At 51.6% G+C, this 12,257-nt stretch overlaps 1 long non-coding RNA gene, 1 pseudogene, 1 gene segment (V, D, J or C) and 1 further gene, besides 1 other annotated feature; 1 reads left to right on the top strand and 3 right to left on the bottom strand.

Annotated features, from left to right (window-relative positions):
• The window catches only part of IGL (immunoglobulin lambda locus), an 896,838-nt gene that overhangs the window by 227,397 nt on the left and 657,184 nt on the right, over positions 1-12,257 (bottom strand).
• IGLV3-24 (immunoglobulin lambda variable 3-24 (pseudogene)) lies at positions 447-741 on the bottom strand (annotated as a pseudogene). Its single transcript is given in 1 exon segment — positions 447-741. A coding segment is annotated over 1 exon segment (295 nt).
• On the top strand, positions 1,503-2,761 carry LOC112267890 (uncharacterized). Of its 2 annotated transcripts, none has more exons than XR_001755446.1 (3): positions 1,503-1,847; positions 2,086-2,370; positions 2,455-2,761. It is a non-coding gene; the product is annotated as an uncharacterized LOC112267890 (long non-coding RNA). The 2 variants fall into 2 exon arrangements; XR_001755447.1 differs by having other exon boundaries at positions 2,440-2,761.
• Positions 2,642-2,691: an enhancer, noted in NCBI's record as "active region_18724". NCBI's record gives its function as "activates an Ori minimal core promoter by ATAC-STARR-seq in GM12878 lymphoblastoid cells {active_cell/tissue: GM12878}" and the evidence as "EXISTENCE:reporter gene assay evidence [ECO:0000049][PMID:35858748]".
• Positions 8,236-8,748, bottom strand: IGLV3-25 (immunoglobulin lambda variable 3-25). The segment is given in 2 exon segments: positions 8,236-8,536; positions 8,703-8,748. Coding segments are annotated over 2 exon segments (347 nt in total).

The raw sequence follows: 12,257 nt of genomic DNA, 5'->3' as shown, positions 1-12,257 counted from the left end.
CAGAACCCAGAGCACCTGGCATGCCAGGGCCCTTTTCAGAGAATGGCAGGATGCCATGGGAGCCTGAGCTGGGCAGTTCTGGAAACTGACTCAGGATATTCAGCCCAAGGACTGGCCTTCACCCCCTATGGAAATCCAGAGACCAACTAAGGATGTTGACCTTGGCCTGACCTTCCATTCTGGCCCCATTTCCCCAAATCACAACTGAGTCCCCCAAACCTCAATATATCCTGGTCACCTCTGCCCTAAATTCAGTCTTGATGTCCCCTCTGCAGAGCCTGCCTGGAGGGCCTGTGGAAAGGGCAGCCTGGGGGGTCTCAGATCCAGGTGAATTGGGAAACCCATGCTCATGGCTTTGTCCACAGTCTTCCTGGGCTGGAGGACAAGAGTGACACGTATGGGGAAGGGGTTTGTGTCTCACTTCCCCATCTACCTCTGTCACTGTGGGATGAGGAGTCCTAATGTCCCACATCTTACAGTAATAGCCTCGTCCCCAGCCTGGGCCCTGTTGATGGCCAGGGTGGTCCTGTTCCCTGAGTTTGAGCCAGAGAATCTCAGAGATCCCTGAAGGCCGCCTGCTATCCCCATAGATGACCCACACAGGGGCCTGTCCTGGCTTCTGCTGGTACCATTAAGCACTTTTACTTCCAATACTGTTTTCCCTACAGGTGATCCTAGTCATCTGTCCTGGAGCTACTGACACTGAGGGTGGCTGTGTCAGCTCACAGGAGGTGACAGAGCCTGCAAGAAGGAAAGGGGAGATAAAAAATTTGAAACTGAGAGGCTCAACCCCAGGATATCTTGCTACTTGCCAGGGCTGGAGTGAGCCCCAGGAATAAAAGAGCTCTCAGGGCACCCATGAGCACAGGAGCACAGAGTGGGGGCATTTCAGCCCAACCAGCCCCTCCCCCTGCAGCAGGGTCACGAGCATCCTGCCCACCACACACAGGGCCCTGCTGAGCTCAGACTGATGGCCAGGCTGAACCTGGAGGCCTGGGGCTGGGCAGGTGGGTGAGACCCTGGGGGCAGCACCTGGGCAGTGAGTCAGGAGACCAAGGAAAAGAGGGGCCAGGCCATGGCTGAAGTGCCTCCAATGCTGCTTCTCAAGTCTGAGGCTGGGCAGGCTCCTCCCAGGTCTCTCTTAACCCCTTGTTGGAGAGAACAGCCCGTGATGCCAATCAGCAGAGTCAGGGGCTGCTGCTGGAGGAGCTTTGTGGTTTCCAGAAGGACTCAGCCCCAAGGGACCCAAAGAGGTTAGGGGTGGCCTTGCCCTCCCACCCTTTGCCCACAGGATCTCCTTTATCAATTGATTCCATATTCTCTGCAGACATCTCCACATCACACTGTGCTCAGCCTCATTCCTGGGCTCACTTGGTCACAGCAGAGCTCAGAGGTGACTTTGTATTTCCTAAGGAATATGAAGTCCTTCATATGGGATGATCTTTGATCTGGTCCAGGAGGTGATCATAGAGTCATGCTGGTAACTGTGGAATTATCTGGGGTCCCCAGTCCCCTCCTCCATTCTATCCTGGCTCAGGAGGGCAGTGCTTAATTTTGGTCTAGGCCTCTCAGTGTGTCCTGATCATAAATATTTTATGTTAGAGAGGAGATTTCTGTTGCAGGTCTAAATATATTTTTAGATGTTACTTTCCAGAACCCAATGCAGGTTCCCTCTTCATCTCCACTGTGCAGATGATAACACACACCTTGGAAAGGTGCAGGTCCCACCGCAGGGCACAGCTCCTGAGTGGTAGAGGACAATGGAATTTCTTATTTGTCAAGTGCACACAGAGTGCTGGAAGATCCATGAGGTGATGGAAGTTTCTGCCTTGGCTGCAAGCTCCTGGGTAGGTCATAGCTGCTGTGCCTCAGTATCTCCAGGATGCTGTCAGGATCAGAGACAGATGAGAAGGCGAAGGAAATGTTTGCTCCATGAGAGAATGAGAGGGGGCTGCAAACTCCAAGACCCCCAGAAGTGAATGTTTATTATAACTAAGTTGTCGTCAGTTGTTGGGGAAAATGTATCAATGATTAAGAACTTAAGTCAACTAAAGGTTAATGAGCAACTATTTTGTGACTCACCAGGAAATCAAGAGCCATGATTTGGCAGCTTCCCCAGGAGAGAGTCCGGAAAGACCAGGGACAATGAAAGTGGAGGAGCAGCCAGGAAAGGAGAAGCCACTGTGTCTGCAGGACAGGGGCTCCCAGAGCAAAGGGGAGATAAAGGGGACACCTGTGACCTCAGGGAGGACACTGCACATGGCAGGGACACCATTTTAGCACAACTGGGTGTGTGAGGAGAGGGCACTGTGAGAAGTCAAGTGCCTGGAGCTGTGGCAGAGAAAGAGGCAGCATCTGCAAGAGCTGAAGGTAAAATCCTATTCTAGAATTTCTACATGAGTGTCAAGTACACAAGGACAATACTCTATGAAAATAAAGACCCTTTCATTCCAGGTGTGAGATCATGGTCACTGGCTCCTGCTGCATGTCAGCGTCTCCCTGTCACCCAGGCCCGCCCCATCGCCAGGTGGCTTTGCCAGGTAACTCTCTGCTTCCCCCTGGTGGCCGCTCCACACTGTGGGCTGGGGGCTCAGGGACTTCCTGGGTCTAGGTGTGGATTCAGAACCTGCTGTTCAGGTCCCTGATGCCCTGATCCGAGGACTGCTGGTCCCAGGGGAGGAACACCTCTTCTCTGTGTGGCCCCTGCCTGACTCAAGATCAGGTACAAGGGGCTCAGCTTACCCAATAAAATACAAAAGTATATATGTAGAAACACTGAAATCAAACCCGCATCATATTGGAGAAGAGTAACCTGTAAGAGGCAGTGTTGGGGAAGAGCTGGCTCAACGCCCTGTGGTGAAGAGTCTTTTGTGTGTGGGGATCTGAGAGGACAGCAGAAACCTGAGGGAACCCGGGACTCAGATCAGTCCGTGTCTGATGTGATAGCGTCTTGTAAATGAAGAGCAAGGGGCAGATGTGTGGTGCAGTCAGGTGTAAGAAGGAGAATTTCCTGTTTATGCTCAGGTGATCTGTGAGGGGCTGGGCACACACACTCCTTGGTGGTCTACAGGATGCAGCTGCTGATGCTGGAACTAATTAGACACAGGTGGGCTCAGGCAGGCCCTTCAACTGTCCCTGCTTACCTGGGGCTGGAGCCACTAGGGGGTGGTGGCTAAACTGCTTCAGCCGTCCTCCCAGTGCCCGCCTTGCAGCCTTGGGGAAATTAAGCTTCTGTCACTTCCATTGATCCTGGGTCATGCTCAATGCACCCAGAACAAACAGATTGACCATTTACTGGAAAGTTCTCTGGGAGCTCCCCACTTAACTCAGCCATGAAGAGCGCATGATGGGGCACCCCTTTCAGGGGCCAACTTGTTGTTCCCAGGCTCTTACCCCAGAGGAAGACAAAGCCCTTGGCATAGCTGGGGTGTCTGCTGTACTGGTGGGTAGGTGTCTGCAGAGAACAGGTTTCCTTGAATGTCACCATTCTTCACACACCTTCACATGTGACAGCAATGCATCAGTAACATTTTTTGACTCATCAATCTTGATAGAGAAGCAGCTGTTTGCCAGGTTATTACACAAAAACCTTTGTGCAACATTTGCTGTGCCTTCCATGTGCTGACTCATCACATGTGGCAGTGTGGTCTTTCCCATGCCCCTTCCTGCTCCTGGTACAGGCCTTGTTCCTTCCACACCATGGCATCACTAGTTCCTCACCAACCCTGTTTTGTTCCTGCTCTCGGCAAAGCCTTCTGCTACTAATTAACCTGCTTCCTCAGCCTGTTCTCTCAAAGTCACTTTGTGTACCAGAGTTTTGACCTCAGTTTACTGTGAGGGTCAATGGCTGTTAAAAATCATCCTCTCCTTCACCTGTGTAATGGCCGTGATTGGCAGTGAAGGGCTTCTTCTTACAGAGCACCTGCTGAGTGCTAGTGTCTGGTTGGTGGAGATTCAGTGCTGGAAATTCCATCTGCAGAATAAACAGTTCCCTCAACTTCTAAATCCATCGATAGGTCCTGCCCACACACACACATCGGTGGGCAGGGCCATCATCAGCTGCTGTCTTCCTTCTATCAACTCAGTGCCCAAAAGTCATAATACCCTTCACCTTGATGGTGAAAACATCAAATGGACTCATCACTTGAGCAAGGTCCTACTGCACGCAATGAACCTGGTCCAACGGTGCATGAGAAACTTGAGCTTTTCTTGTGGAACTTTTGGTAAAGTGTTTCATAAGCCTTGGGTTGCAAGCAATACTGTTTGAAAAATGTTGGATCAGAGAGAAATAGCAACCAAGTATCAGCATGGGAAACTTAAGCGTCCTGGCTGGGAAGGAAATTAAACAACTGTAAGAGACATTCTTGTGCAATTGGGAAACATGACTACGGTCTGCATAGGAGAGAGCTGTTGGTATCCTCCCTTGTGATAATGAGAGAGACAGAGACCCCAGTATGGCCGTGTCCACAGTTGTCCCATCCAGAAAGAGTGTACATATGTGCTGATGACCATAGTCTGTAAACTTTAGTGCATGCACATGATTTCACGATTAAACCAATTGTACTTTTAAAGAAGGTAATAAGCAGACTGAGACCTTCCAAGTGAGAAAAAAAGCCCAACAAACCTGGCCCTAGAGACTGGAATCAGACATCTCTTCTGGAAAAGGGCACCATCCTCACCCAGCAGGACCTTCCCGTCATGCTTGCAGCCCCTGGGACATGGAGCAGAGGGGCAGGTCCTGGACTTGGCATCAAGGGTTCTTAGTGAGCTCCTCAGAAAGCAGCCCAGAGCCCAAAGATAAAATCCACACTATCAGGGCACTAGAGGGACATCCAGTCAGGTCTGACCTACCTGGGGAAGGTGATGGGACTTTGGGGGCCATGGGAGTTCAGCGTGCCCCAAAGACAGTCCCCAGGTGGGATGAAAGGTAGTGTCTGTTCTTCCTCTTCAGTTTCTGTGAAATGTCAGCACAGAAAGGGCCCTGGGGCCAAAAGGGGCTGGGTCTCCAGTCCTCCTCAGGCCTCAGGCACCCCTTTAGAATGCGGAGGTCAACTGAACTCATCTGGAAACCAGAGGAGACACAGCCTCTGGAGCTTCCACTAAGCTGCTTATACCCAAGGAAAAGAGAAATTCCACAGGACTGTACCCTCTGCGACAGCTCTTTCCTCCCCTGTGTGATGTGTGATTACATCTGGGGCCATGTGATGTTGTGTGGATTCCTAAACCTTTCATGTACACCACAAACCTGACAGAGGTTCCTGCAGCTCCAACCAGCTTCCCCCTGTCCACTCACTTCTCACTGGACACATGCAGGCCCTGAGAGGATGGAGAAGCTGCTCAGAATCACCAGCCCTGCAGGGGCCAGGTTAAGACCAGAGAGGACGCCTGACCCTGAGGCCTGACCTTCAGCTGCTCACAGGGCAGCTGAGAATGAGAGCCAGGCCGAGATGGGACAGTTCTGTGGCTAGTCCCTGTCTCTCTGTGTTACTATGAGTCCCTGCCAGCTGCTCCCACTGTTATTATCTGCAGTTCAGCAATAGTCAGTCTCTTCCCGGGCTTGGGCTCCATTAATGGTCATGGTGGCCATGTTCCCTGAGTTGAAGCCTAAGAATTGGGCAGATGTCCCTGAGGGTCAGTTGCTGTTATACTAGATGACCAGCACCATGGACTGGCCTGGATTCTGCTGGTTCCTTAATGCATGTTTATCTCAAGGTTATCTCCAGAGTATGTGCTCATGATTGTCAGTCCCAGGGCCACCAACACTGAGACCAGCTGTCTCTGCACATAGGAGGCACAGGGCTGACAGAAGAGGAGAGGAGAGGAGAGGAGAGGAGAGGAGAGGAGAGGAGAGGAGAGGAGAGGAGAGGAGAGGAGGGCGTGAGGATGAAGGGTCCATTCCCAGAAGGTCCCAACCCGGAGCTGAACTTAGGGTTTGGGTAGGCCAATTACAGTGTCATATATTGAGTGGTTTAATGGAAGGTCTTTCACTCTTCGTAAAGTGTCTTTTAAAATATTTTCACATTACTGTCCTATAAAATTTTCACAATTGAAATAATTAATCTTTCATCTTCTCAATATAAAAATAAATTTCTCTCAGTGGAGGTGAAACCTGTTTTGGGTAGCAAGATGTGGTTGAGGGGATCCCAGGGTAGGTGGGGGCCAAGTAGTGGCATTTTATTGCCAAAGACACTGTGGCTTGGTTACCATAATGCATAGCTGAGCATGCAAGGATTCAGAATAATCAGACAAGATCATGTGCGTGGTCTAAGTGGTCCTGGGGTCCCAGCCTCCCTCTACTTATTTTTTTGAATGAGCAGAAAGCTCCATTTGAGAAAGACTGTGAAGGCTCCTGGGCCTCAGCAGAGGCTCTGTGTGATTGTGGCCACACAGCTCACCATGTGACCCAAGTTGCCAGTATGCTAGGTTTGGTCTGAACCACAGTCCCGGTTGGCCATTTCCAGCAGCTCCTCAATCACATGGCAGGGATGTATTTGTGACTTGAGGGACTAGGTCACGAGGCCCAAGTAAGTTTCATGAAGAGTTGGCCAAATAGACATGACCGGAGCCCTGCACCATGTCTTCCTCTCAACCTACAGCCTTGACGTCCTGAGGGGCTCCCTGAGATCAGCTGCCTAGGAGGAGGCACTTAGGCTGGGGTTACAGAGTTTTCTGCAGGACATGCAGCCACTACTGGTGTGGACAGTGCTAGTACTCCACCTGGCCTCTGAGAATCCCTGAACAGCAGTGTTGGAGGAACATTCTCATTAAAGTAGAATTTTAAGCAGTGCAATTGGCTCATGTCACCTGCCAAGAGATGGGCAGAGGTTCCTAATTCACAGGTTGTGACTCAGGGTCTTGAAAGATGCTCAAGGATGTTCAGGGACTTGAGAGAGACACAATGAGAATATTGATCACAAATACGTCAGGGGGAGAGATGTGTGAATAGACCTCCTCCGGTGGGCAGAAAGTAAGAGAATTTTTTCCATATGTCAATACTCACCAAGTCTTCTGTGAAAATGAAGTGATTTTGCTAATCAGGTGAGTAGGGTGACTTGTTCTGTGGACATCAGGCAGCCTCCCTCAACCACTCTTGTCAATGCCCAGTGGGCTCCATAAAAAAAAGCGCCCATGGTGGCAGGGATGGAGGCTGTCCATGGGCTCATCAATGTCGATTTCCACTAACTGGAGCTGGCCTGGCTGTAGCCACTGCTGAGTGACCATCTGCCAACAGCAGAGACTAACACAGAGATCCCTATAGGATGACTTTCTCTGTGGAAAACAGCCAGGGGCCTGCTTAATATTAATTTCGTTTGCACTCTTCCATCATGGCAGGAATAGCTCTTTTTTCTTACTAGAATTGACATTTATTCTACAGAGGATTTGCTTTCATTGACAGCAATGCTTCTGCCAAAACTGTTGTCTCTGGATTACAGAATGACGCACCCATCATGATGGTATTCCACAGGAGGTTCTGACCAAGGAATTCATTTCACTGCAAATAAAGGGCTATGGGCCTTTTCTTCTGGCAATCAAGATTCTTACTCTTGTCCCAAACATTCTGAGACATATGGCTTATATGAATGGTTTAATGACTGCTTGGAGACACCATTACTGCACCAGGCAAGTGGCAAGTATGTGTAGGGCTGGACAATGTCTTCCAGGATAGGGCATGTTCTGTGCATCAGTGCCCAATAGATGGTGCTGTTTCTCCCACAGTCAGGATCCATGAGTCCAGAATCAAGGAGTAAATTGTAGTGGCTCCACTCAAAAATGTCTTCAGTGGTCCATTAGCAAAAATTTAACATTCTCTCCTCCTGATCTCAGGCTCTGTGGGTCTGGAGGTCTTAGATGCACTAGAGGAATGCTTTCCCAGAGGATACAACAATGACTGCATTCAACTGAGACCTGAGAGTTCCCCATGTCCCTTTGGACATGCCTGCATGGATGTCTCCCTGTGTCTGTCTTTCCAGTCAGACCCTCCATCGACAACTCAAACCCCAGGCAAAGAAACACAGGACAGCCTGGCCTGCCAGGCACAAATCCACTCCAGACTGACTACTCTGCAGTGCCTGCCTGGAGGGCTGGAGGGAAGGGCAGCCTGGGGGTTCAGATTTGGGTGAATTTGGCCAAGCCTACTCATGGCTTTGTCCACAGTCCTCCTGGGGCAGGAGGAAGAGGATGAAATAGAGGGGGAGGGGTTTATGTCTCACTTCCCTGTCTGCTTGTGTCACTGTGGGATAAGTACCACTGCTGTCTGCTGATTGACAGTAATAGTCAGCCTCGTCTTCTGCCTGGACTCCACTGATGGTCAACGTGACTGTTGTCCCTGAGCTGGAGCCAGAGAATCGCTCAGGGATCCCTGAGGGCCTCTCACTGTCTTTATATATCACCAGCACAGGGGCCTGGCCTGGCTTCTGCTGGTACCAATAAGCATATTGCTTTGGCAATGCATCTCCAGAGCAGGTGATCCTGGCCGTCTGTCCTGGGGACACTGACACCGAGGGTGGCTGTGTCAGCTCATAGGAGGCCTCAGAGCCTGCAAGGAAGAACAAGAGAGGGGGCTTGAAGACAAAGGACCCATTCCCAGGAGTCGCACCCAGAGGCTGTGTCTGGGCTTTGCTCGGGATTCAGGGCAGGCTCAACTTGGGATCTGTGGGGAATAAGACTGGAGCAGGGCCTGGAGCAGGGCCTGGGGACAGCACCTGTGCAGAGAGTGAGGAGGGGGAGAAGTAGAGGGATCCAGGCCATGGTGAGACACCCAGAGTTCTGCCTCCTGGACCCACAGCACAGCTAGGCTCCCCAGGCCTCTCTTATTCTCTCTCAGGCTTTTTAGGGTAGTCAGTGTTTGGTGTTTATGCAAATTTACTTCCTCTGGGACTCCTCCTGGAGAGATGTCACCCAAACCAGCTGTGGGGGCAGCACAGGCGACAAGAGGAAGAAGAAGAAGCAGGATCTCTGGTTAGAAAATCAGCTGCAGCCTTGAAGCCCTGTGATCGCAGTCACCTTCTTGGGAATTGACTTCATGACCACTGTCCCAAACCTCGTTGACCTGGGGTCTGTCCTGGGCCAGGCTCAGCAGAGCTGTGGACCTTCCAGGAGTTTGGCCATGGGGCTGAGCTGGGCCCTGCCGAGAGATCATGCTGACACCTGACTCAGCAGCAGGTGGCCCAGGGACCCATGATCTTCCTCCCCCTGGTCCCTCAGACTCAGTCCCCTCTTGTTCATTTCATCTAAATGCTGTGCTGTGTCATTGGGACACTTGCTGATTATTCAGTGGGAATAGTTGGGTCATTTAAGCAACCACACACCCCTGTGGAGTCAACAGGGCCTCTGGTCTCATTTCAGCCATGGTGCTGCTCCTTCTATACCATTCCCTCATTGCCACAAGAGATAAGCAATTGGCACCCTCAGCTCGTCTGTTATTTATTTATGTTTTTCTCATCAATGTTTTATGTAAACTTGCAAAAAGCAGCAGAAAACCATAGTGGACTGAGAATCTAACTTTAGGCCCCATGGATTCTGTCACGGTTCCAGGGTCCCAGGGTCCCAGGGTCCCAGGGTCCCAGGGTCCCAGGGTCATGGTCTCTGCACAGCATGTGAGCTCCAGAGGATGGGTGGTCCCTGGTTACTCCAGCCAGGTTCCTGGTTATTGTCCTGTCACTGAGCATGGACAGGTCCGGGGTCAGAGCTGTGGCCTGAGGCAGGTGAGAATCCCCATCCCTCTGGAGAGTGTCTCCTCAATGAGGCTGGTGATGCCCCATGCAGGGACCAGGGCCCCAAATACTTCACGCCACCCACCTGAGACTCCCCTAAGCACAGGAGCTGCCCTTGAGTCAGAGTCTGCCTGGAGCTGGAAGGAAAGGCAGAGGGAGGGTAGGCAGGGTGTATCTGGAAGTGCCCACGACAGAGGGCTCAGCTCCCCAGGACACTGCTGGACAGGGCAGGACAAGGCCCTGAGAGTGGCAGGAGGCTCAGGCAGCCATCCTGGGTGAAGAACCCAGGCCCTGGGAACCCCGTCACCTCACACTGTGCCCCTCCTAGAGCACCTTGACCTCGGGACTTCTTCCAGGGAATCCCCTTCCTGAGGAAGCTGCCCAAGCTGACACCTGGGCCCAGCCTCTTCCAGCAGCATTTCCCAGGTGAGGCCTTCACTGTGCCAGGCTTCTGTCAGTGTCCTGGGGTAACACTATATGAGTCTGACCCTCAGAGCGTGGTCACTGCAGCCTGAGGGGATAGGATGAACTGTCTTCACTTTCAGTCTGAAGACTGATTCTTGGACACCTGTTGAACCTCAGGCAGGCCTTCCTCTTTTCCCCGGCTGGGCAGCCCCAGCCTCTCTCCTCACTGCTGCTGGCTGCAGCTCTGCTGCCCCCAACTGGTGGAGGAGACTCAGCCCAGGAGCTTTTTCCTTCCAGGTGACCCCACAGCACCTGTCACCTCAGAAGTTGAGGACCAGAGAGTCCAGCCCCATTCTGTGCCAGTGTGGCCCAATCTGCCCTGCCCAGCCCACCACAGAGAGGTCACACATGCAGTGCAGGGATGTGGGGCAGGAACAATTGCTACAGAAGTGTCTCAGGGTTGAAATGCCCTACTCTAGTGGTTTTGTTCCGTCAGGACTAATTAGAGTAAGTCAACTGAAGCTCTTCTGCCAAGCTTTCAAAGTCCAGAGAGACGTGCGTGCCAGGCTTTCTATGCACTTAGGAAGCAAACTGGTGCACCTCCCACCCAGTAAGAGCAGCTATGATTCACTGCAATCACCGCATGTTTCTGGCACTGCAGCTTAGTTGTGAGCTAACATCACCATCGTTGGCAGATTAATTTCATGTTTATGTTTATTTCATTCCACACTTCTCAGAGTTTCTGCAGGGAGGATTTCCATACTAGCCTAGTCTGTTTTCCTGATGAAACTGGGACTCTCCTGCTTATTCTTAGCTGGCAGCTGCTGTTCCCACCATATAGAAAGCAAGCTCTTTTCGAGTCCTTTTCTTGGAATCTCTGCAGAGGAAAGACAAGAAATTCCATGTCTGAAGCCCACTGAAGCCCATTAAATGACATCCCCCCATTCGCATGACTTCCATTGTTTTTCTATCTTTTAATTTTGAATGAAGAAAAGTGCTTCTTCAGTTCAGTATAAGCCTCCTCACTTCGCAGCAGGTAACACTGTGGCCAAAAGAAACTAAGTGGCTCAGGAGAACAGAGAGCAGTGGGGGCAAGTCCAAGAGCCGATCCAGGTGTCCTGAGTTATGAACCTGGGCCCTTTGGGGCAGAGCTTAACCAGGGTGGGGAGGGACGGGGCATGAGGGCCAGGCAGGCAGCAGGGCTGTGTCCCATGGACACACTGCCATCCCCCGTCATGGCCTAGCCATGCTGAGGAGCCCACCTCAGCCTGCAGAGGTGGGGCCTGTACCCCAGGTTAGCGCTGGAGGATCTGTGGGGATTGGGGGCTGCTTTGAGTGTAGGGCCTGGCCTGGGCTGCTGTTTCTCTCTGCACTGTTGCCTGCTCCTGAGCAGTTGGAGGGACAGATGTCTCATGGCCAACTCTACTGGAGGTACCTGAGTCTTTAAGAGACTACAGAGCCTGCAGGTTGAGGAGACTTTAGGGCTTATTCTCAGGGTCCCATCTCCTGAAGCATCACCTGGGCTGAGCTCAGGGTCAGGACTAGGATTAGGGTCCTGTGGGGGCTTAGCCTGGGGGAAGCATCTGTGCAAAGAGTGAGAAGAGGTGGCAGGCGAAGGGTCTAGGCCATGGGGAGACATCCCAGAGCTTTGCCTCTGGAGCCCACAGCTGAGCCTGGTTTCCTCAGGTCTTCTCCATACTCTCAAAAGTCCCCATGAAAATGCTCCCTCCATTGGGCTCGACTGGAGAGAACTTGGCAGGCTTCAGTGTGGGCGTCATGGGTTTGGTTTATATGGAATTCTTCTTCTTCTCATATATCATATGAGAGTGATTGTCACTGTTTATTTGAACAATCTTAAAGGAATGACAGGAATCCCATACCCAGGGTTGTCTGTGAAGCTCACAGGAGTGGGAAGGTGTCTCCGTGTTGCCAGGGCCCTGGCCATTGTTTTGTCTCAGTCTCCCTTTCTGCTGCTCTGTCAGGACAAGACAGGGGCATACATTTGGCCCACCCTGGACAAGGTTCTATATAAGCATAACAATATTTGATGACACTGACTCAGCACTGACTATGGCCCATGCCTTGCCTGTTTGTAGGCCTTGCGCATATGAACTCACTTAACTGAGAAGCATGTGTCAG

The sequence above is a fragment of the Homo sapiens genome, chromosome 22 (genome assembly GCF_000001405.40).
Source record: "Homo sapiens chromosome 22, GRCh38.p14 Primary Assembly".
NCBI lineage: Eukaryota > Metazoa > Chordata > Mammalia > Primates > Hominidae > Homo > Homo sapiens.
The sequence above is the reverse complement of the archived record's forward strand: the minus strand, read 5'-3'. Positions and strand labels throughout refer to the sequence as shown.